Genomic DNA, 24,790 nt, shown 5'->3' with positions numbered 1-24,790 from the left:
TGGAGACATCCCCCAATCCCTCCAGCTGAAAGTAAATACTTTCTTTTCTGTCCGCTATCATGCTTTGCCCGTAGCTTTGCACTTTCGATCTGGTGTATAATCCCTTACTTATTTGTCACTGATTTCCACTGTGCTGTTAGGTGCATGAAGTCTGATATATAAATCACACATAAATGATATGCAGTAATTAAAAAGCAACACTTCAAAGAAACAACTAGGTTTTTTTTTTTCTTCTTCTTTTAACCACTGGGCCACTGCAGGTGGCAGAGAACATCTGAAAAAGCAGTCCAGAGATAATAATAGAGATTTTTTTTTACATTCAGTATTGAATGTGGTCAACATTAAAGTTGTTATCTTTACCCTAAAAGTCTGTACTGTCTATTAAATCTTTCACGATGCATACTAATTGCATAGTCAGTCTATGCCTTGCTTCCCAGCCAAGAGAACCCTCATTTTCTTTTCAGGTATCTACCTTTTCCTCATATGATTTAGGAGACTTCATCCCCAGTTCCTAGGATAAAGTCAATAAGTCTAAGCTAATTATAGTAATCCCATTCCTGTTGCTATTAATTGGTTTAGAAATGACCAGAGAAAGTTGAAACAGAATTGTCCTTATTAAATGATACTGCAGGAGGCATCAGACTACCCAAGTTCAAACTGTACTCTAAAGCTACAATAAACAAAACAGCATTCTACTGGTACAAGAACAGACACATAGACCAATGGAACAGAATAGGGAACCCAGAAATAAAGCTGCACATCTACCACTATCTGATCTTCAACAAAGTTGACAAAAATAAGCAATGGGGAAAGAACTCCCTATTCAATAAATGGTGCTGGGGATAGCTGGCTAGTTATGCAGAAGAATGAAACTGGACCCTTTCCTTTCACCATATACAAACATTAACTCAAGATGGATTAAAGATTTAAATATAAGACCTCAATCTATATTTTATAGATTCTATATTCTAGAATTCTAGAAGGAAACCTAGGAAACACCATTCTGGACATCAGCCTTGGGAAAGAATTTCTGAGTAAGGTCTCAAAAATAATTGCAACAAAACAAAAAATTGACAAGTGGGACCTAGTTAAACAAAAGAGGTTTTGAACAACAAAATAAATTATCAATAGAGTAAATAGATAACTTATAGAATGGGAGAAAATATTCATAAACTGTGCAGCCAACAAAGGTCCATATCCAGAATCTATAAGGAATTTACACAATTCAACAGGCAAAAAACAAATAACCCCATTAAAAAGTGGACAAAAGACATGAACAAACACTTCTGTAAAGAAGACATACAAATATGAAAAAATGGTCAACATCACTAGTCATTAGAGAAATGCAAATCAAAACCACAATGAGATTTCATCTCACACCTGTTGGAATGGCTATTACTAAAAAGTCAAGAAAACAATAGATACCGGTAAGGCTATTGAGAAAAAGGAATGTTTATACACTGTTGGTGCGAATGTAAATTAGTTCAACCACTGTGGAAAGCAGTTTGGAGATTTCTTGAAGAACTTAAAACAGAACTGCCATTCAACCCAGGAATCCCATTACTGAGTTTATATCCAAAAGAAAACAAATCATTCTACCAAAAGACACATGCACTCGTATGTTCATCACAGTGCTATTCACAACAGCAGAGATGGAACCAACCTAGATGCCCATCAACAGTGGATTGAATAAAGAAAATGTGATATGTATACACCATGGAATACTATGTAGCCATAGAAAAGGATGAGATCATGTCCTTTGCAGCAACATGGATGGAACTGGAGGCCATTATCCTAAGCAAATTAATGCCAGAACAGAAAATCAAATGTCACATGTTCTTACTTATTAGTGGGCGCTAAATATTGAGTACATAAAGATGGCAATAATAGACACTGGAGACTAATATAGGGGGAGGGAGGGAGCAAAGCCTGAAAAACTAACTGTTGGGTATTATGTTCAGTATCTGGGTGACAGGATCATTTGTATCACAAACCTCAGCATCACATGATATACCCATGTAACACACTTGCACATGTGCCCCCATATCTAAAATAAAAGTGGAAACTATTTAAAAAAGAAATAAAATAACACTGCAGAGAGTACTGAATCTCCTTAGGCTAAATATAATTTTAATGGAAAGGAGGAGATTCTCTTTATGGCCATGAGCATACATTAGGTAAAAGCAGAGTTGTTTTTTTTTTTTCTTTAGTCAGTGAGGTCAGTAGGGATCTTAATTTACTTCTCATGCTTTGCTTAGACAAGATAATGTACTTAGTACTGCTTGGTTTGTCTCAAATGCTTGGCTGCCTTTCAAAAAGCTTTTGATTTGGGGAAGGGATAGGACAGGGCGTTCCCAGGCAGCCTTATCAGTACCAGAGAGTACTCAGACTGCAGCCTCAATTGTGGGAGTGTTCTTCTGTGAAACCTTTAAAAGGCTGGATCTGCTTACAGAGCCATTAACTGTGGGGTCCTCAAAGTCACCGTACAGGGATGGTTGAGCATCACTAAGTGCACACTGGTCATTAAGCAGGAGCCTTTCACTCCTAACCATTTCCAATCCAAGACATATTTAATAGATGCAGGGAGAGTTACAACATCATGTGGTTGGGATGATCAGAGGAGGTTACTTGGAAGAAGTAGGTCTTTTTACCCATTAATTTGCTCATGAACTCAGGCTTTCTCAACAATGGTTCCTCACCTGAACCATAGCACACAGAAATTGATTTGGATGACTATCTTCTCGATTCTTCCAAAAATGGTACATAGCTAGTGCCATTCATGAAGCATAGTAGAAAAGTTAATTCACATAGTGAATAATTGGCACATTAAGGCTTAATTCTTTCATGGACTCTAGTTCATTTATTCAATATATTTACTGAGTGCCTACTTTCTGGCAGGCATTCTTATTGGTACTGGTTATACAGTTGTAAAAAAATGAAGTCCCTGCCCTCATGGAGCTTACATTTTAGTGAAGAATTCAGATTCAGAATAAACATAATATATATGTTATATACCTGGATCTTGAAGAAAAGATTTGCATAGTAGAAGGGAAGGGGAGGTCATTTAACATGGTCTGGGAAGGCCAGGCCATATGGAAATGGATCTTGGACCTGGCTGCTTTCCACTCCTTCCTGCAATAAGAAGGGCTGAAAGGGCAGGCTCTTACCAGCTCTGACCACTGAAGTGCATAATCCCTAAGCACATGACTTTTTGTTCATGGGGTCATGGTCAGGCTGTACTTTTAGGGACAGATAGTCCTGAAGTTAGGTGTCACCTCAGATGGGACTAGGGATTTGGTGACAAGGCTGAGGATATTGACCCACAGGAAGAGTGGATACCTACCTACATGGTGTGAGTTAGGGCTCCTGAAGGGGTTCTTTGGCCCATAGATTATTTTCCCAAGGCTTTTTATGGTGCTGCAAATGCTACCCTTACTGACTCTTTTGGTCTAAGGTAGAAGTTCCCAAACTTGTCCAGGCGCAGTGCCTCACACCTGTAATCCAAGCAGTTTGGAATGCTGAAGTGGGAGGATCGCTTGAGCCTAGGAGTTTGAGATTGGTCTGGGGAATATAGGCAAGACCCCATCTCTCGAAAAAATAAAAATACAAAATTAGCCAGGCATGGTGGTGCACGCCTGTAGTCCAAGCTACTTGGGAGGCTGAGGTGGAAGGATCACTTGAGCCTGGGAGGTGGAGGCTGCAGTGAGCTATGATTGTGCCACTGCACTCCAGCCTGGGCAGCAGAGCAAGATCCTATCACATTTAAAAATAAGAGAAAGAAATAAAGAAAGAAAGAAAGAAAAGAAGTTCCCAAACTTTTTTTATTTTACAGCACATTTAGTGTCTCAACACTTTTTTCATGAAAAAAGCCAAAAGAAATATCTAACACTTCTGTTTATTAAGTAAGTCCAAATAACTTAATAGTAGTATTTGTTTAGGGTCTGACAGATGTGTCTGGGCTTCCCCTGAAAAAATTTAAAATGTTCCACAGTGCCCCCGTGAGTTCACTACGGAATACTTAGTATATGTTTGTCATTATGAACTTAAGGCATAGAAAGTCCCTAAGATACTGCGGGGCGCGGTGGCTCATACCTGTAATCCCAGCACTTTGGGATGCCAAGGCGGGTGGATCACGAGGTCAGGAGATCGAGACCATCCTGGCTAACACAGTGAAACCCCGTCTCTTCTAAAAATACAAAAAATTAGTCGGGCGTGGTGGTGGGTGCCTGTAGTCCCAGCTACTCAGGTGGCTGAGGCAGGAGAATGGCGTGAACCCGGGAGGTGGAGCTTGCAGTGAGCAGAGATTATGCCACTGCACTCCAGCCTGGGCGCCAGAGTGAGACTCCGTCTCAAAAAAAAAAAAAAAAAAAAAGAAAGTCCCTAAGATATAAAGGTTCTTCACAGGGATAACTCATTATCAACCCTGAATGCCAGATGCATCCATCGGGTTTGTTATAGAGTGGTCTTAGCCTAAACAGATGGGACCCAGAGTGACTAAGTGCTGATGGAAGAAAAAAGTTATAAAGGCCAGGCTCCAAAGTGCTTGTGCTCGTCAGATAAACCTGTGAGGCGAAAAGACTGCAAACAGGAGGAGAAAGAGAAAGGCACTGGGAGCCCTGTGTGGGGAGCTCTCAGAGCCATATGAAGTGAGAAAAAAGGGTAGGCGATGAAGCGAATGCAAGTTAGCTATGCCCTGTGGGGTCTGTAGCCCCCAGCATGTACCCATTCAAGTGAGAGCCCCTCCCCAGTGTGAGAGGCCGTACCGACGGGCTGGCTCACTCTCTTTAGTTGGACCAGCACATTGATATTCCTGATGTTCCAAAGTTACCCCCCGTTCTTTGCCCTACCTGTTCCACCTCCTATGTGAGCTTCCGGGATGGGCAGGACAGACCACCTCGGCATCCCACTCACTTTGTTTCTGTACACAAACATTTGCAAGACTCTGCCTTGAGCCAGGTGCTCAGGTGCTAAGGATGAATGAAACGCAGTCTCTGTTGATTTGCTTGGAGCGGAATCTCAACATCTACCTGCATGACCTTTAGACTCTCCCAGTCTCTTTCCCTCTTGGCTGGGGGATTTTCAGGTTTATCATGTTTTAGGGAAATATGGGTCTCTTGACTAGCTCTGTTCCACGTATTGCCTTCGTACTTTGACAATTCATTTCCTTTCCCTGACTCACGGGGTAGGAAGAAACTGAGTGAGAACTGTAAAATACCTAAGACTCTAAAATGACAATGATTGCAAGATGCATCCAATATTTATATATCCCCAATAAACAAAAAAAACCTGCCAATTATAGTTGTAAGATATCACTGGTTTTAAGGTATATCTTGTTTTTAGAAATGTTGAAATGTGAAAGACAGGGTGTGTCTTAGAATAGATAAACTATGGTAACATTGAGTAAGCATCTATGATGGTTAGGCATTAGGGACTAGGCACTATTTATGTTATCTCAGTTAACCTCTACCTTCTGTACCTATCCCTAAAGATCAATATCTGCATAACTAAGACATATTCAATTTTTTGCTACATCACCAATAGACTGACCTCTTAGTTTAGGTTTCTCCTAAAGCAGAGCCCAAGTCAAGGATTTACAGAGGAAGGTAGTTATTTGTGAGGTGATCCCAGCAAGCAGGTGTGAGGGGACAGGGAGAGTGCACAAGGAAAAGGAAACAGTCAATCAAGTGTGCATTGTCAAGGTCACTGCTCTAGGCTAAAGGGGCTCAACTCTGCAGGGACCATTGAAGCCTCCAGAATTGTCCACCCATAGGAGAGAAGGTTGGGGCATTTGCCTAATGGCTCCTGTTTTTCTGTGGTTGAGAGTTGTCCCTGGGGGCTTTGACTACACTCTCTCTCTCTGGCTGAACATGATTGTGGGCTGAGTGGGCTCCTGTGCCTTTTGAGAAAGTCTTGTGGTGGAAGAACAGTCAGGGTACACTTGAAGTGACACTATCCATCACAGCTGCAGGTGTGGGTGACGGGATGAGATGCAGGGCAACAAGGGCATCTGCCACACTCATGAGAAAACATGGGTGGGGCTGAGACTTCTCCTTGTGCCTAGCCTAGTTATTGGGATACATTTCTATCATTTGCAACTTTGAGTTCTGATGGACCCAATCATTTGATGAGTCGGAGGACTTGGGACCCCAAGTTTTAGTCTTGCCTCTGTGTGGTCTTGGGTAGGAATCTTCACTTCCCTGGGCCTCAGCTTTCTTCTCCGCTGAATGAGGGAGGTGGACTTCATAGGTTCTGAGGGGTCCCTTGGTCAATATTCTGTCACTTGACCCCATGTTTCTGTTGGCTGTGACTATACTGATGATGAGTTTCAGCATCAGCTACCTTGCTACCCACCCTTTTCTCTTCTTAAATAGCTCCTTGAAGACCACACAGACAGTAAGGGTTGAGACTAGGAGTTACGTGCAGGTTTGTCTGACTACACCAGATGACCCTGATTCCACTTTATAACACAGAACTCAAATCAAATTTTCATCTTTCTTGAATCCATTCATTCATTTAATGAAATTTTACTGAGTGCCTACCCTGTGTCAGCTGCCATGCTAGACTCTGGTGTATGGCAGCAAACAAAAAGACAAAGTCCCTGTTCTTTTGGAATTTATGTTCTAGTGGAGAGGGACATATAATAAGCAATTGAACAATTAAGTACCGAGGGGAAGGTAAGTGCTATGAAGAATAAAGCAGGGTAAGGAGATAGAAAGTGGTGGAGTGTTATTTTGTACAGGATGCAGGCTGGTGGCCAGCAAGGTCTTTGCCATGACCTTCATTGGTATGGCAGATGTCTGAATGCCAACCTCTGATGGTTGACAACACTTCCCTAATCTCTCCCTCTGCTCCCTTCCATTTCTAGCTGGATCCTTGCATGGAAGGTTGTATTTTCCAAAGATGGCTGTAACAATATCTCCTACTCCACATGCTCCTCTTATAATGTGGCTTTGATGTGCCTCTCATCAAGAGGTGGGATCTATGCTCCCTCACTTAAAATGTGGGTGGGTTTCTGACATTGAAAGCAGTATTATTTTGTGACTTCTGAGGCTGTCATAAAAAGTGATGCAACAAGCAAAGAATTGAACAGATATTTGCACACCTATATTCATAGCAGTATTATTCACAATAGTCAACAGGTGGAAGCACCCCAAATGTCCATCAACAGATGAATAGATAAAGAAAATATGGCATATACACACAATGGAATACTATTCAGCCTTCAAAAGGAAGGATATCCTGTCATGTGCTGCAGCATGTGTGAACCTCAGGGACATTGTGTTGGATGAAGTGGACCAGTCACAGAATGACAGATGCTGCATGATTCTGCTCGTATGAAGTATCTAAAGTAGTCAAATACATAAAAACAGAAAGTAGAACACTGTTTTCCAGGGGCTCAGGAGAGAGGAAAATGGGGAGTTGTTGTTTAATGTGCATAGAGTTTCAGTTTTGCAAGATGTAAAATTTCTGGAGATTGGGTGCATAACAATGTCAACGTACATAACACTAGTGAATCATACACTAAAACATGGTTAAGATGGAAGATTTTTATTATTTTTTTTTTTTTAGGTGGAGTCTCGCTCTGTCACCCAGCCTAGAGTACAGTGGAATGATCTCAGCTCACTGCAACTTCTGCCTCCTGGGTTCAAGCGATTCTCCTGCCTCAGCCTCCTGAGTAGCTGGGATTACAGGCGCCCACCACCATGCCCAGCTAGTTTTGCATTTTTAGTAGAGACAGGGTTTCACCATGTTGGCCAGGCTGGCCTTGAACTCCTGACCTCAGGTGGTCTGCCCACCTCAGCCTCCCAAAGTGCTGGGATTACAGGTGTGAGCCACCGCACCCAGATAATGTTATGTGTTTTTAACCACATTAAAAAGAAAAAGGTGATACAACTTCCACTTTGCTTGCTGTTAAAACCTGCACTTGAGTCCTGTGCCACCATGAACATGGTCCAACTACCCTGAGGCTGCCATGCTAGGGGGAAGCTCAACTCACCTGTGCAGAGAGACCACAGGAAGTAGCCCTCAGATTACAAGAATAAAGAGATGTATGGCCAGCCTCCAGCTTCTCCAGCTGCCACCTGACTACAACCTCATGAGAAACGCTGAACCAGAACGGCCCCAGCCAAGTTCTTTCCAAATTCCTGATCCACAGAAACCTTGAGAGATAGTAATTGTTCTTTGATGCTACTAAATTTCGTCAAAATTTGTTCCATGGCAATAGCTAACTGGACACCTTGTCTCAGTCTCTCAGGTCAATTCTGACCACAGGGAGAAAGGATTTAAGTAGCTCTAGCCTATCACTGTGCAGTGGCTGATGGTCTGGCCCTGTAGATGCAAAGCTCCTTGAGAGAAGAGCTCTGTGTCACCACTGTAGTAGTTGTGGCCTCATCCTCCAGGAGTGCTTTCTATATTTCATTCTACAAATATTTACTAAGAGCCTAATAGACTTCATTGAACTCTAGCACAATCCCTAGAATATATTAAGCATATAAGATATGCTCCTTGCTTTCAAGGAATGTAATTTAATGGAAGAAACAAACATATAAGCAAATAATTTCTTCCTAATTAATTATTTTCTTTCATTGAAACACAATTAACACAGGGGCATAATTTAGCCCGGAGGAGAGTCAGGGCAGGGACCTCTGAGACAGTGACATGTAAGTTGCAACTAGAAGGATAAGAAGTCATTAAAAATATGCTTGATAAATGTGTTTACCTGGGCTTGCTCTGAGCTGTGAGTGTGATCCAGGTCTGCTCCACAGGTCTCTCATCCTGTTTGAACTAGTGCTACCAGGGCGGACATTTCTCATGGTGCTGGCAGAAGCCCAAGAGGGCAAGCCCCACTGTGCAAACACATTACAGGCCTCTGCTTATCATGCCTACTAACATCCCAACATCCCATAGGACCAAGCAAGGCATGTAGCCGAGCCCACCATCAATGGGGCAGCCAAGGACACTCCTCTCATAGAGGTAAGAGTAAGGGGTGTGTCTACCCACTTTTTGGAGACAATCCTCTACAGCGGTCAAATGTCCTATATCCTCAGCTATTAAGACCCTTGCTTGGGCTCCTGCTTTTTAATCTATGCTATTGCTTTTGTAGATTGTGCTGACAAACACTAGGCTGTTCTCCCAGGCACTTCTAGCCAGGTCATGCCCCCTTGCCTGCTCCCTGCAGCCCTCCACGTTGGCCCATGCCAATGCCTTGTTTGATTCTCCATCCTTGTCAGTCCGCTCCATTTCACAACACTTAACTGTCTGTGCCAGCCGTATCCAGCTACGACAAGAAAATCTGATGAAAATGTAAGGTGCTGGCAAAAATCATTTTATGGAAATACATGAAAAAATCATCTAAGCTGATTATAGTATTGAAGAAGAATTGAACTGGAGCAGGATCATAAAACTCACTTATAGGGATGCCATGAAAATTAGCTAGTCAGTGTTCATGGTTTGAACATAAAACAAAAATTGTTATTGATTTACATATAATGTCTTTGTGGGGTCTTCCAAATGCCTCCTCAGCTAATATATAACAGAAATGGGGAAACTAAGTGTTAAGTTTAGGACCCAACCATCTTGCCTTTAGTTTTGTTTGTTTTTGTTTTGCCAGTGGTAGTATAGATAGCAACCTTCCTCTCAGCACAGAGAGCTGGCTGTGGACCTAGACATTGTGAAGAATTGCAGTGTGGATTGCAAAACACCATCGCATTCATAAGTCATGGCTTATTAGATTTTTGGTGAAAAACTTCAAGGGGCATCTGTTTTCTCTCCTCTGTTCTTGCCCCACCACTCGTCACCAGTAGAGACTGTTTTATAGTAAATTATGGCCGGTTCTGCAGCCTGATTATTCAGGGCCTGCTTGGCTTGGTGACTATTTTCTTCTTGCCAACGGGCATTCCTTCATTTCACAGCTTCTTAGCCCTAGCTGCTGAGAGTAGAGAAGCGGAAATGAAGAGGTGGGACTCAAGCCAGTTTATTACGCCTCTTGTTGGTGGTGCTGGTAAGGGCTTGGCAGGGAAAGGAAACTGGAACTACGGCCCTCATCAGCAGAGGCAAGGGAGGTGGGGTCCTGCGGCTGCCTTTCAGCGCTGTGTCCAGTGTAGGGGGCAAAACCTCCTTACCCTCAAGCCTGTCTTAGCAAGGCCAATTGCGAAAGGCTTTTTCGTGGGCTTTGGCTGTGTTCAGAGTCAAATGACATTCTGATGTAATGATAATGGTCCTAATCACAAGAGGATGTTCTCAGTGAGTGGGCACCAGGCACCGTGCAAAGTGAGTTATTTCACTTAATCCGCACAAAGACTCTAGAGGTGGGAACTATTACGCAGAAGGGGACGAACTTGCCCAAGGTCATGCCTCAAAGCAGCAGTAGAAACTGTGGAGAATGGAGCAAGCTGTTTGTTCTCCAGTCCAAGCAGCTCTGTCTTCTCCCTGGCCCACCCCACGGACACCTTCCTGTTCACGGACCTCCTCCTCTTCTAGAGGCACCGAAGCTTGTGTGGATGTCTCTGTCATATTCTCCCTCACCTTTGTGGAGGGATTCACCAGACCTCCTGTCCAGCCCACTCCCCACCTGCTTGTGTGTGTGATTTCCATGTGTGCATTGTGGGAGCTGACTACACAGCAGAGCCTCAGCCCAGCCTCGGGTCCTCTTCCCCGCTTTCAGGCAACTAAAGGCCCACAGGTGGTTGGTCACACTGACTTTGGATCCAGACTGCCTGGGTTCTAATCCTCCATCACTTGTCACCTCTGTGACCTTGGGAAGTCACTTAACTTCTCTACGCCTCAGTTACTTGAGGCTAACAATTGTGCTTACTGCCTAGAGCTGCCTTGGGGGTCCAATGGGATCATGGGTGTACAGTGCCGTCAAGCACATTGTAAGTGCTCAAAAAACACGAGCTAGTATTATTTCCTACTACATGCTGGTTACTGCCCTGGAACTAGAGGAGCATAAAAAAGCCTGGGCTTGGAGAAATTTAGGGGTCTTCAACAACTCTGCACTGTTCTGGGTTCGGCTGCACCATCAATTTTCAGGCACATTGCAGATTAAGTAGGCTTTGGTGCACTGACCTAAGAGCCTCATCACCATTTATATTATATAAAATGTACTCTGTTTTCCAATCAACTGAGTTTCCAAAGAAGCTTTGGACAAGTTACTGACAGAGCTAAGTAGACTGGAGACAGAATGGAAGAGGTGCTCATTTCCTATACCAGGGAGAGGTTAGAAAGAGTCCCTGCTTACACTGAGAAGGGGGTTCTCAGCCCATTGTCAATACCATAATAGTGGGTGTCACATATGTTTAAGGAACATGAGGGAAGGGATATCAGTTCCTGGAATAGCACCCACTGGGCAGGAACATCAAACTGTGCTTGAGTTGTTTGCTCAGCTGTATTTCAGAGGCTGCACTCTACCTTGGTTATAGATAGGATAAGTCTCTGCTCCTATCCATTTTAAACACTGGCCATTAGCCAAGTTAAATGGTATAATAGTGCATTGGGGAGTCCTCTGTAGACATTGAGAGCAAGTGTTTTGGAGTTAGGGAGCCCTGGGTCAAAGCCCAGGCTCTACCACTCTACCAGGCTATGTGATTTAAGAGCCTTCACTTCCCCTTTTGTAAAACGCAGATAAGAGTCATACCTACCTCTCAGGTTGTTAAAATGAGATAATGAATGTAAATCACTTTAAGCACAGCGCCTTGTATGCAGCAAGTACTTAAGTTACTGCAGCTATTATTCTTTCACTTTTTGCCTCAAGTTGCAAGGTCTCTGTTGATAGGACTTTTGGGAGAGAGGAACTGGGGAACGGACTGGGGAAGACAGGCAAAGGAATCCCTGCTCAGCCACCCTGCCCATTACTGTAGTTCCTGTGATCAGTGATGTGAAGTTACCGCAAATATAGTGAATGACCGCAAATAGAAGGTGATCTTTCAACTGCAGCCAGGTGGTTTTGTTTTTGTTTTTGTTTTTTTTTTTTGTTTTTCCGAGACGGAGTCTCACTCTGTCGCCTAGGCTGGAGTGCAGTGGCGCGGTCTTGGCTCACTGCCAGCTCCGCCTCCCGGGTTCATGCCATTCTCCTGCCTCAGCCTCCCCCGTAGCTGGGACTACAGGTGCCCGCCACCACGCCCGGCTAATTTTTTGTATTTTTAGTAGGGACAGGGTTTCACCGTGTTAGCCAGGATTGTTTCGATCTCCTGACCTCGTGATCCGCCCACCTCGGCCCCCCAAAGTGCTGAGATTACAGGCGTGCGCCACCGCGCCTGGCCCAGGTGGTTTTTAATACAGACACATGGCTGATAAGAGCTTAACAAGTTTCTGGATCTATTACCAAACTCAGGTCATTGTTTTTGCATTTTGCATTGGAATGTATGGATATATGTTCTCCAAACTAGGGAAATATAGATATGACCAGTGGTCTCTCCAATTCTGAAGCAGTGAACAGACAGCTGTGCTGTGTGTTCAGCAAACTCTGTAGTATAGCATTGTCACAGTAGTAAAGAAGTCACTATTCCAGCAAAATAATCCAAACCCACAAAGTTAATCCAACCCATTTAATAATATGCATCCTAGTTGTTGTGCTGTATGGCAGTGAAACAGAAATGATAAACTATTTACAAATATGACTATATTTTCCTTAGTTCCTCCATTGAGCAGTCATATTTTCAGCCATTCTCTTTGCTAGTTGTTCAGTGTGTTCATGGTCAGTATCACTGTTGACACATTTCCCCCATCCAAGCCACGCCTTCTGCTACCTACTGCCCTTCTTCCTTTTCCCTCCAGGGGCATTCTTTTCCTCCCCCAGGACCCATAGATCCTTTAGTCTCAGCAGCCCACCTAGCTCAGCTATCCGGGTGTTGGGGACCTCAAGTTTGCAGAAAATGGTGTTAAAATTAGCTAGAGTGGGCTCATGCTGGGAGTCAAAGGAAAAGTGGGAATGGGCCATGAAGGAAGGTCTAGAGCACTGGCTTCCTGTGCCTGGCAGTCTTGGGGTAAAGGAATGTTGCATTAGCATCGAGAGAAAGAAGAAAAGGGAGATGTTACTCAGGAAATCTATTTTCTCTAGAGATTCAGGAGTCTTGAAATGAGCTTAGCAGATTTACACTTAATGTCTCTATCTAAACTTTGGTTTTCTCATCTGCAGAGGAAGGACAATCTCTACCTCGCAGCATTGTTGCAGGAATGAAATTAGAGAATGTGTAAAGCACCCCACACAGTGACTGGCATGTGGTAAATGCCAATGATTGGCATCTATTTTTAAAATAATGTGCTCTTGTCCTGCTGAATAGGGCATATAAACCCCTCAGTGGAAACTGAGACACTGGCTAGAAAGAAACAATAAAATTATATTGCTGTCTTACCTTGATAAAAGACAGATACATAGAACGTATTCCCTTACAGCTGAATTTCAAAATAAACTTCCAATCCATGGACTCTTTTCCCTGTTCCTGGAAAAATTATATCCTGAGCATGTTCACGTGCTTACCAAATTACTCATTAATGAGTGGTCTATTTATTGGATAGAGTCAGTAAAATGATATTACATTTTAGTTTCATTTGATAGCTTGGAGGTATTTTGGGGGGGCTGTCATTATCATCTTTCATTGTTTCTGCAGGTGAGTCAGCTTTGAGGTGAGAGACAGGTGGTTTCTCTGCTATATGTAAACAAGTGGCTCTCAAACATGTGCATCAGAATCATCTGGAGAGCTTATTGAACCACAAGATGGCAGAGTCCCACCCCTGACAGATTCCAGGACCTGCACTTTGAGAAGCCCTGACTTAAACCAACACTGATTTCTCTGCACTTTCAGCTGTGGCAGTGATGGCACTGGCAGCTCCCTGCTTGGCTTGATGACCTTTGTAGGTTTCTTTAGTTGGTTAAGCAGCAGTTTATAGCTGCTTTATGTTAAGAGCAATACTTTTTCTGCCCCAAGAAAAGTACTAACCTGGGAAGAGTGCAGGAAATAATGGACCATTGACCATATGTAGGGGGCACATTCCAAAAATAGGTGTCTGTGTTCCACACTGATTAAGAGCTTGGGCTTTGGAGTTGGGAAGGCAAGCAATGAGACTTCTTTGCCATTTTTCTAGTTGTGTGGCTTTCTAAATTCTGTTTTCTCGTCTGTAGAATGGGGGAAAGTATACTTTCTTGCCAGGTTTAAAGAAGGTAAAGCACATAAAGTGCTCAATAAGTGTTAGCAACTTTTTCAAGGGGATGTAAAAGCCCAATGATGCCTAAGACTGTGAGTGCCACTGTTCATATATACTCATTAGAATTCACTAGAATGTCTGAGCACAGAGTTGGTCCTTTTGAGGTCTAAGTCAGTCCAGGTAGAGAGGGATTTCTAAAGAATTTCTCACAAGGTGTTATTCAGCCTTTTGTAGAAAGCTCAGACTGAAGAGCTTTATACTCTAAAATATAAAGAAAACAACCCCATCAACGAGCTGCCAGTAGAAATGTGTATGCTGTTCAAGTTAATTCATAATTGTGGGTTTAACATTAGTTATTATTAAAACATGAACAACTTTGGCTTGTTTAGAACATGTTAGGAAGCAAGAGCTAGATGGACCTTAGAGATCATCTGGTTTAATCCTTTTATTTTACAGATAAAAAAATCTGTGGGGCTGAGAAATTAAGTGAACAATTTGCTTGAAGGTACGCAACCACAAATTTAATTTCTACTGGACTTGCTAGGTAAATGCTCTCAGAAAGAATGGCTTGTGGACGATTATAAAACCACTATCATTTCAGTCTTCTGTAACATGTAATTGATTTACATTCAAACAGCCTGGGTAGAAGGTAAATTCATTTAGTTTCCTAGGGTTATTATAACACAAATTTATCTTGAGGCATTCATCAGGAAGTTACATGAAATAAAGCTGGTCATTTTATGAGTATATGATAGAAATTGTTTTATAATCACACCATGCAATTGGAAGCATATGCTTTGAAAAACTTCAGGTGAATATGATCATGGTGATATTCTATGATGTGGCAGTTGCTGTGGCAATAATGGGGCTGGAAGCTCCATTATTGAAGCTTCAATTGTCCCATTTTTCCATGTGTAGAAGCAGACCTTGACTGTTTTCTGAGAAAAATCTTGACCCTTTCTCCAAGTACTGTTTTTTCTTTCAGAAATGGAGTGACTTTCTATATAGATTTCAGTCAATTTTTAGTGAAAAGAATTTAAACTCATTTTCTACATGATTGGTTAAAATATAAGGATTTGTACTCCATATTCTTGAGATCTTAACCTCCAGCCTTCAGCTGCCAAATGTCTATGAAAAGCTTTGTTATGAGAAATATATACGAAACTTTGCCTGAAAAGTGTGTAGTTCATTCATTACTTTAAAAATTGTAATAGTGACAAAATAGTAGTTAGAAATTGTTAAGTATTTACTGTATGCCAGTTACTGAGTCCAGCCCTTATGTGCATTATTTCTTTTAATCCTTGCAACTGGTGTTTCGCCCACTTTGGCATGCATCAAATCACCCGAGGGCTTGTTAAAACGCAAATTGCTTTGACCCATCCTTAGGGTTTCTGATTCAGCAGCGGCCCGAGACTGCATGTCTAATAAATTTCTAGGTGATGCTGATGCTGCTGGTCTGAGAAGTACTGTTTGCTACAAACCTAGGAGGTAAGCATTTTAATCTGTACTTTGTAGATGAAGAAACAGGTTCAGGTTGTGTCACTTACTGAACACACAGTTAATAAGGTGGTAGAGTTGAGATTTGAAAATTTGCTTTTTTGATTCCAAAGTCTATAGTCAATTTCTGTGCTAGGTGGTTTTGCAATAAAACATTCTGTCTGGGCTGAATAGTAACATTTTATAGTTCAGGAATAGAGTAGGACTCTATTGCTCCTAACACTGGGGTCCAAATATATTGAAGCATATGGATGCCATGAGATGGTACTAATCAATGCCAGAGTGTGGGATAAAGTAATACGGCCCTTAAAAGGGACTTTATCATGAAGGTAGAAATAGACAGGTGAGCAGCTCCCTGACACCAAGGGGAGCTATGGGACAAAGGGGAGCCTTGGTTCCAGGACTGCAAAGTGTCCAACAGTGGAATTTATCTTCACCAGACAATCTGGTGAGGGCTTTCTCCTGGGAGAACTGGCTTTGTGTGTGTAAATTTAAAGAGCTCTTGTACTTAAAAGAGAGCTGTGCTTTCTGGGAAGCCTGCGATTGAGTGCTAATAGGGAAGAAATGGCTCTCATCATGCCATAGAACTCTGACTTTCCTCTCTGTCTGAGGCAGCAGTGAGCCAAGCACTGTGGGCTGTAGGTAGCATTGAAGAAGGGGGTGGGTTAGAGGTCAGCAAGAAACACAACGTCTGGGTAACATACTTGTCACCACGTGGTTGCCTAGGCAGTGGGCCCCTGTTGTATCAGTGAGGAAAACTCTATCATGTAACTGAGGTAAGATTTTGAATCTTGATGAGCAACCTTATTGCAGGCATTCCATACCCACTTCTGTAGAATGGGCTATCAGATGCCAGTGGTGACCTTCCCATTTTACCGACTTTCAGCATGCTAAACCTCAGATTCACTGGCAGTGACCGCAGAAAGTTTCTGAGGCAATTAGGTTAGGAGTGTGAGCTGGGATAGAAGGCCTGTCTTCACTAGCAGGTAGAAAGAAGAGGATTGACTGTGGATGTGTCTCTGGAGATTCTAAAACATACACAGGCGAGGGGAATCCTCCACTTGCTGATGATCGGACAGGCCACGGCTCAGCGACATTGTGTTTCAGGGTGTTAATGTGAATAATTTTGTGCCCATTTATACTCTCAGTTTGATGAAAACTTCAATGCAGCAGTCATGTACAATTTAATCCATGAATCAGTGCCAGCACTGTGGCCTCTTAACTCCGCTTTGGTGTTGATGTCTCAGTGCTCTCTTTATGAGTGCTTCTTTATGAGTAGCTGTCTCCTGAGCAACCAGCATGTTTCTATATGTGAACAGTCAATCTGAAGCCAGATCATACATCTTTCTTTGGTTCTCAGAAATCTGGGTCAGATTTGTCATTCACAAATATCAATTGATCAAGATCTTCTATTATACATTTTCTCATGTAAATTTTTTGAAAGAAGGGAGAGGGAGAATGTATAGAAATGGAAAAAAGGAAGGGTGGAAAAGAGGCAGAGAAAAGGAGAAAGGAAGGAAATTTAGCCCATTTTACAGAAGACATCTATATAGAAAAGCTCAACAATGGAAATACCCCCATCCAACCTTGATGTGACTGACCCTAAATTTGAAGTATAGATGTGGCCAGCAAAAGTCCATGCTGTAACAAATTACTGTTTTGTAAAGTATGAGTCAGTGATGAGCACCGTAAAATTAACCAGAGCCAATGAAGTAATAACCATGATGATAGATTCTGGGGATTACTCTCCAAGAAAAGTAGATATGTGCTTTCTGTAATATTGGTGTCCTAAACAGCCAATGTTTCTTAGGGCAAATACACATAATAGCACCAAATTTGAATCATTAATAGATTTTTTTGCAAATACAATGCTGCAAGCAAGCTATGAGCTTGCCAAAACTCAGCTTTAGGTGTGCTAGGTGTCAGGGGACACAAAATCCTGTCCTTCAAGTTGGCAAGTAATTGTGATCCAAGGCAAAATGCATGTGATAGTTGTGTGTGTGTATGCAATTCTGCCTGCGGAATCCAGAATCTCTTCATGGAGGAATGAGAGTTTGAGCTTATTCTTGACAAATGAGGATCTTCAGGTGAAGCTGAACACAAGAAAATACATAGAAAAGGCAAGCAGGTATCAAAATGCCTGGTTGTTGGGAACTGCCTACTACAGCTCAAGCTTCAGAGAACTTTACTAGAACATGAGACTGAGCAGAAACATGTGCCCTAAACCCTGGTGCATCAGACTCTCAGAAAAGTTGCTTATAATGGTAGTCCATCTCACCTCCAATTAGCTATTCGTCTTGTTCTCGTAAGCCTGAAGCTTCCTGTATAGCCTTCCTTACTTACAACCCCCTTAAGTCCTCTTACTACTCATTCTTTATTGGTTGAGCAGTTTGAGTTATAATCAACAGATGTTAATTTAAATTTATTATGGTTCATCCAAATATTAAAATGGGTTGGTCTGTGGGGTTTTGCTATGATGACTGCAGCTCAACCCTGGGACATCTATCTTTTTGAATACTGCTGAGCAACTTTTATAATTCAGATACTTCTTTAAATACATTTCTCTCACTATGGATGAATCAATTCTGTGATCTCCAGTCCTGGAGATGCTACTGAGACTTAGCTAATTAACAATACTGTTACTGAGCTGAGTCACCTGTCCTATGTCAGGCTCTCACATAGAGGTACAGCCCCCCGAAGCACTGAGATCAGCTGTGGGCCAAGGGTGGGGGAGTATCAGAAGGGGCAGTTTGGCAAGGTTTACCACTTAAAAAGACTGTGATTACCACTTTCGTACACTGTTGTTAAGCATGGTAATGTTGAAATCTTCCACTGTACATCTTGTCTGAGAGTTTTATCTGGTTACATTACTTGAATACCTGACTGGAAAAAATGAGCCAGATTCCATAAGAATGAGGATTGCGTAGGTATAAGGATATACAAGACAATGCTCATTCACTGTGACAGCTTTCAAGGAAGATTTTCTTTGGCAATGGCAGTGATATTTACTCCAGAGGTTGACAATAGCAAATGCTCTAACATGCTCATCTATAAATCCTAGTAAGCCATAATATTATCCACTAGGTGCCAGCCACTCTTCATAATATGGTTAATCCTTTCAATGCTACAAGGTAGGTTTATAGTATTCTAATTCTAGAGATGAGTAAGCAGGCTCAAAGTGGGAGAGGTTTAATGACTGACAAAAGGCCAGGAAAACAAGTGGGAGAGCCACTGTTCTGCCTACCTTCCAAAATCCTACTTTCCCCACTACGGCTACATTCCCTAAATCCATCAACAGTACACCTGCATCAAAGATACCTCAAGATTCAAGTCTACTTAAGATTGTTCTTCTACTGTCTTTGCAAATGTCAGAAAGGTAATAATGCTTCCAGGAGACTGAATAAAAGCAAGAGGCAACTAGTACTACAAACATTTCCAAAGTAATACAAAATATATGATAAAGAGGGAAGAACAGTAAATGAATGTCATAATTTAAGAAACATTTAAGACTGGACTTTAATTTTGCAGGATCTTTTTATCTCCCTCTTACCCTTTATTTTTAAACCAAAGACTCCAAGAACATTCTAGTTGGAAGCCCTCCAAAAGAAACAGTATTCTCTCATATACTGCTGATAAAAGTATAAATTGCTTAGAGTTTTCTAGGGGGCAACATGGCAGTAACAAAAGCTTTTAAAAACTGGCATACCCTCTTCACTAGCAATTCCACTTCAAAGCATTTATCGTGAGAAAATATGAACACATACGAGATTTAGCAACACAATGTTCTTTAAAGCACTTTATTAATGAAAGTTGGAAACCTAAAAATTGAACAGTAGTTTAATAAAATGTGGCACATATGATGGAATATCATGCAGCCATTAAGAGATGTAGAAATATACTTGACACAGCAAGACAGTCATGGTATTGTTGAGTGAAAAAAAGTTACAAAACAGTATGTACACTTTGATCCCATTAAAAATATCTATAAATGCACAGAAAAGTCTGGAAGGCCATATACTTAAATAACAGTGGTTCTCCCTGGATGATGGAATTATCAGTGATTTTTCTTTCTCACTGAATCTTTTTTCTTTTTGCCAACAGGGCTATGACTTGTATTATAAAAAAGCATTAACAATTCTTTAAAAAGTGTCCTTTGAAGTAAGAATGAGAGCAGAACTTAGCAATCTAAGAGGCACAGGGATGTACACATGGTTTCTGATACTGTTTTAACGGTTTGTCAAGGTGTTTTGATGTTAGTCACCAATTAAAAGGCACTGTGTTGAGTGAAAACGTGGATGGTGGTAGTGCTTACTTTAGACTAAGCAATCCATTCCTAGAAACCTTCCACAGCAAACAAGTACTGGCATTCTAAGCAATACTTCCCACTATGATATCCTTATACCTTCCTACCCACTTGTAATACAGCCCAGAAGTTTCCCCTACATGGACAGGGCACTGTTGTTGGTTAAGGGTTACAGAAGGCAGAGAGGATTTTTCAAGTGATGTCAGAGAATAGGCCTGAAGGTGAAATGAATGTTCTCTTAGTTCTATTGCAGTGGTTCTCAAGCTTAGAGTGCAACAGTATTACTCAAACAGCTTTTACAACAGATTGCTGGGCTCCACTCTCAGAGTTTGATTCAGTAGGTCTCTGAAAAGGCTTATAAATTTGCATTTTTCTTTCATTCAACAAAAATTTATTGAGTTCATACTATGTCCTAGATCTTGTGCTAAGAGTTGGGAATGTAACTGCCATCAAAAGAATTATAGTTTTTATCTCAGGGAGCCTACATTCTAGAGTGACAGATATACACTAAACAAATAAATTATAAAAATAACTATAATTACAATGACTACTGCTAGAACACAATTAAGATTAGAAGACTCAGTTTTTGTCTTAAAATATTTAAAAAGCTGTCACATGGAAGACTGATTCCATGAGCCCTTGAAAACAAAAAATAAGTAAAAATGAAGGTAGAAAGTTCTTGAAAATAGTAATCAGCATTTTAAACAAGTCTCCAGGAGATGCCAATATTGCCGGTCTGGGGTCTCACACTTTGCCAATCACTGCTCTACTGAGTAGACATTTTTTCTTTCCTTGAGACAAGAGTCTTATTCTATCACCCAGGTTGGAGTGCAGTGGTGCAATCTTGGCTCACTGTAGCCTCTGCCTCTGGGGTTCAAGTGATTCTCCTGCCTCAGCCTCCCGAGTAGCTGGAATTACAGGTGCACGCCACCATGCCCGGCTAATTTTTATATTTTCAGTAGAGACAGGGTTTCCCCATGTTGGCCAGGCTGGTCTCGAACTCCTGACCTCAGATGATCCACCCGCCTCAGCCTCCAAAGTGCTGGGATTACAGGCATGAGCCACGGCACCCAGCCCTGAGTAGACTTTCTAATGAGCGTAATATGGGAGAAAGGGCAGGGGTGGTTGTGGAACTCTCTCTCCAGCGTTTGAGACTCACATGAGGTAAAAGCCACTTCATCTTATCTGGAGGTCTTGAGGCAAAGTTGGCTATAGGCTAAACTATGAAGCTATCTCTCCATTACAGCACCTCACTGAAGCTTAAAGTGCTAAATAGTAGGGCAATATTTCAGAATTTCAGGTGTTTGGGAGATAGGGAAGGAATTTTTCTGGAATTCTGTCAGCATGGAGGTGAGTGGGGCCTCTATGGGTAAACAAGTCTGTGGGTTTTTGCCTTGCCCTCCATTGTCTTCTCCACTCCACAGTTTATCCCAGAAATGTTTCCCCAACACTAGCTTCCCAGTCTCACTTTGTTCTTTGTTCAGGGGGAGGATAACAGGAGACTATGAAGATGACTCTACCCCACTGGTGATCCTGGCCTCAGGATTTATTTCCCATGTGACGCAGAGTGAGGAGGCACATTCCCATTTTTGAGACCTCATTTCTTGCAACATCAATTTTTCTGATTAGCACCATAAAAAGTTTTAACACCATGACCGTTTAGGTTAGATTACTTTGAGGAAAAAGGTAGACACAATCCAATCACTTTTTTTTTCATTTATAGAAGAGCCTACAATTATTTTAGTTTTTCATTCATATGTGCATCCTTCACATGTCACTATACTTTCAGATTAAGCTCAGTGGCACAGAGCTTATTTAAACAATTCTGAACTGCACCATGAATTAATAGGCTTCCCAAGCTTTTTCTTCCACGCCCAAGAAACTTCAGGCCTTTACCTGAGTAAAAACTAAACTTGACTTTAAAATAAGCCAAAACCAAAATAAAACCCAAACAACCAAACCCCATTAAAATAAAAAGCAATAAACCTAAGAACAAGCATATATATTGTGGTGGTTCTGTGGTAGACAAACGTACCAGAAGCCTTTGAAGCTTAACATTATTGAAGGTTTCTGTACATTACTGGGTAACTAAAATCAACTTTCACTTGATGGAAAGCTGAAAGTTCTGAAAAATGATTTATACTGACTGTGGGAAGGTTAAACCTGGGGTCTGATTTAAAGAGGGTGGAGGATAGGATTGATAGAGAGAAAACAGAGCCCAGATGTAAAAGAGGTATCTCTGGTGCACAGTGATATGCAAGGCCTATAGACTTGGTAGGTCAGGATGCTACAGGGGCTAACAAGGGGAAACTGATATTTACAGGATGTGTTTACTATGTGCCAAGCCTTTCCCTGAAAGGCACCTGAAATACAAGATAACATTTGCTAATCCTCACAACCACCCTATGGTGTCATAATTATTGTCCTCATTTTACTGGTAAGGAAAAGGCAGTTATACATCTCATTTGAAGCTTAAAGAGCACAATATGTGAGGAAGACTGGATTTGAACCCAGGACCATTTCACTCCATTACCGATATTCTTTCCCCTGTATTACTACATTTCCCATAAACCTAATTCATAGTTGCTGTTTAAGTCGATCTGAAGTTTTGGTATGATCTTTCAAAGCCTAAATCTGGACTTATAAAACACAATAGATGGTACTCTAGGCTGTAGAACTTCCTTTCTGAGGGGAGAGAAAATTTCATTTACTTGGTTTTACAGAAAACTGACCAGCTTGAGCAGCTTTTCAGGGTTTCTTTAAGAATATGGCAATTGAGAGTGAGTCAAAACATCTTGTACAACTATAAAACTGCAGAAGAATTTGTCTCATGGCACAGAAATAAAAGGGTAACTACTACTTTTAAAGTTTAGACTGTGAGTTAAATTGTCAACATGTTTACCAAGTTCTTATTAGGAGCTCTTAACACAAAATTTTAAAACGGTGTTTAAGTATTCATTTTTTTAAAAGTACCAAAAAGTATCATTTTAATAGCTTAACATTCCCTCAATAAATGAACTATACTTTTGTACTTCATGCTTAAGTTAGAGTAAATTGCTTTAGTTGTCAGAATGTGCTATGCTATCTTGGTTACACATCTTTTTATCTGGAACAGTTCTTCCCCAGACCCTCTCTCACTCCCAAAACTGGAGTTACATGACTCCCAAATACAGTACCTTGTATTTTCCCCATCACACCACGAATCCTACTATAGGATAATTGCTTAATTTTCTGTATCCTTTAATGGTCTTTAAGCTCTGCAGGGGCAAGAACTGTGTGCATATTGTTCAGGACAGTATCCCCAGTTGACCAGCACAGTATCTGGCCCTCAACAAATGTTTGTTGAATGAATGAATTAGAACAGAAGTCTTAACATGGAAACAATGATTTATAGCAATGGCCCCAACAGCAATTTTCTAGCTTCCAATGTGTCACTAATAATTTCATTAGTATGTGTTTCATAAGCAGAGATCCTCATCAAGATAGCCTGTGTTCATTAATAAATTTTCAATGTTTTAATAGTAAGCTCAGAGTGACCCAATTTATTTTGTTCGTATACAATTTATAATGTAGTTGCATTATTCCGTATTTGTATACAAATCTGCTGTTCAATAAGAACACATTCTCTTTACTGTACCACAGTACAGTAAATGGATCCAATCCCAATTATGCATTAAATTGTGCCAACTGAATAATCTTAAAAACTTTATGTTTAATGAAGTAAATTTGTCCTAGATTTTCTAGAACCTTAACTACAAATTTATCAGAGAAATACGGTATTGCTTTTCAAGAACTAGTTGTTCTTAAATTTAAAAGAAACCATTCAGTAGTGTTTAAAAAACCAAACAACTCTGAAAATAACCCATCAAAACATAATATTAAAATCATTTGATTTCTGTTGGAAAACCAGGTAAACATAGTTTAAATGCGTTTTTGTCTATGAAAGCATTCAGAAAATTCTACTTTTCACAAAAGAGGTTTATATCCTACAGCTCTTTTTAAGACCGAAAGTTTAAAATAAATTTTAATTTTATTCTTTGGCTATTATTTATACCTAATAAATGAGTCGCTGATATCAATTCACAATAGATTTATTTTACATAAAAGAAAAAGCTTGCTGTTAATGAAAAATCCAGTAGAAAACAGTTCTGCTTTAAGTTGAGGCTCAAAAGTAGAAGCTGCTTATTAGTGAAACCTCAATAAAAAGAGAATTTTGTAAGAAAACATTCTTGGCATGAAAGCTCTAACATAAATTCTGTAATGAAATATTTACCATGCAACTTTATTGGCAGAAAGGCCAGTTTCTGATGGCTGGTATTTTCAGTCTCTTAACACATTAACATGGAAGATACTTAACCTGCTTTATTTAGAGTTAATTGTATATAAATACAAAGTCATGATGGGCAACCTTTCCATAGTCCACCTACTTAATTGAGCAGTTCTAAGTAGGTAATTGGCACCTTGCCCTTCTGGTTTCCCCTTTCCCCCATTAGCCAGTCTGAATCCATTCCAACAACACTGAACACAGTGATCACCTGCAAAATAAAATACTTCCAGTTATTAACTACATTAAAAAAATAAACAAGTAGAAAACCAATCAGATTTGTATTTAATTTGTTTAAATTATTCACCAAAAGGACTTTAAACGTTATTATCAATTGTGCTGAAAAACAAAGGATTTATTTATTATTATTAGTTTTTTGAGGCAGGGTCTCACTCTGTTGCCCAGGCTGTAGTGCAGCAGCATGATCACGGCTCACTGCAGCCTTGACCTTTCGTGTTCAAACGATCCTCCCACCTTAGCCTCCTGAGTAGCTGGGACTACAGGCGCACACCACCATGCCCAGC

At 41.0% G+C, this 24,790-nt stretch overlaps 1 protein-coding gene across 7 annotated transcripts in view, besides 2 other annotated features; it reads right to left on the bottom strand.

Annotated features, from left to right (window-relative positions):
• Nucleotides 11,565-12,065: an enhancer, noted in NCBI's record as "H3K4me1 hESC enhancer chr1:87221223-87221723 (GRCh37/hg19 assembly coordinates)". NCBI's record gives its function as "activates a minimal SCP1, AML or CMV promoter by ChIP-STARR-seq in naive H9 embryonic stem cells {active_cell/tissue: H9 hESC(naive)}" and the evidence as "EXISTENCE:reporter gene assay evidence [ECO:0000049][PMID:30033119]".
• Nucleotides 13,737-13,796: an enhancer, noted in NCBI's record as "active region_1280". NCBI's record gives its function as "activates an Ori minimal core promoter by ATAC-STARR-seq in GM12878 lymphoblastoid cells {active_cell/tissue: GM12878}" and the evidence as "EXISTENCE:reporter gene assay evidence [ECO:0000049][PMID:35858748]".
• The window catches only part of SH3GLB1 (SH3 domain containing GRB2 like, endophilin B1), a 43,609-nt gene continuing 38,239 nt past the window's right edge, over nucleotides 19,421-24,790 (bottom strand). For all 7 annotated transcript variants that reach the window (XM_006710672.3, NM_001206651.2, NM_001206652.2 and 4 more), the window contains one exon: nucleotides 19,421-24,477. In XM_006710672.3, the coding sequence (XP_006710735.1) occupies nucleotides 24,370-24,477 (108 nt within the window). In that variant the 3' untranslated portion in view covers nucleotides 19,421-24,369. The remainder of the gene's footprint in view (nucleotides 24,478-24,790) is intronic.

Source organism: Homo sapiens, chromosome 1 (assembly GCF_000001405.40).
Source record: "Homo sapiens chromosome 1, GRCh38.p14 Primary Assembly".
NCBI classification, from domain to species: domain Eukaryota; kingdom Metazoa; phylum Chordata; class Mammalia; order Primates; family Hominidae; genus Homo; species Homo sapiens.
This window is presented reverse-complemented; position numbering and strand designations above follow the sequence as displayed.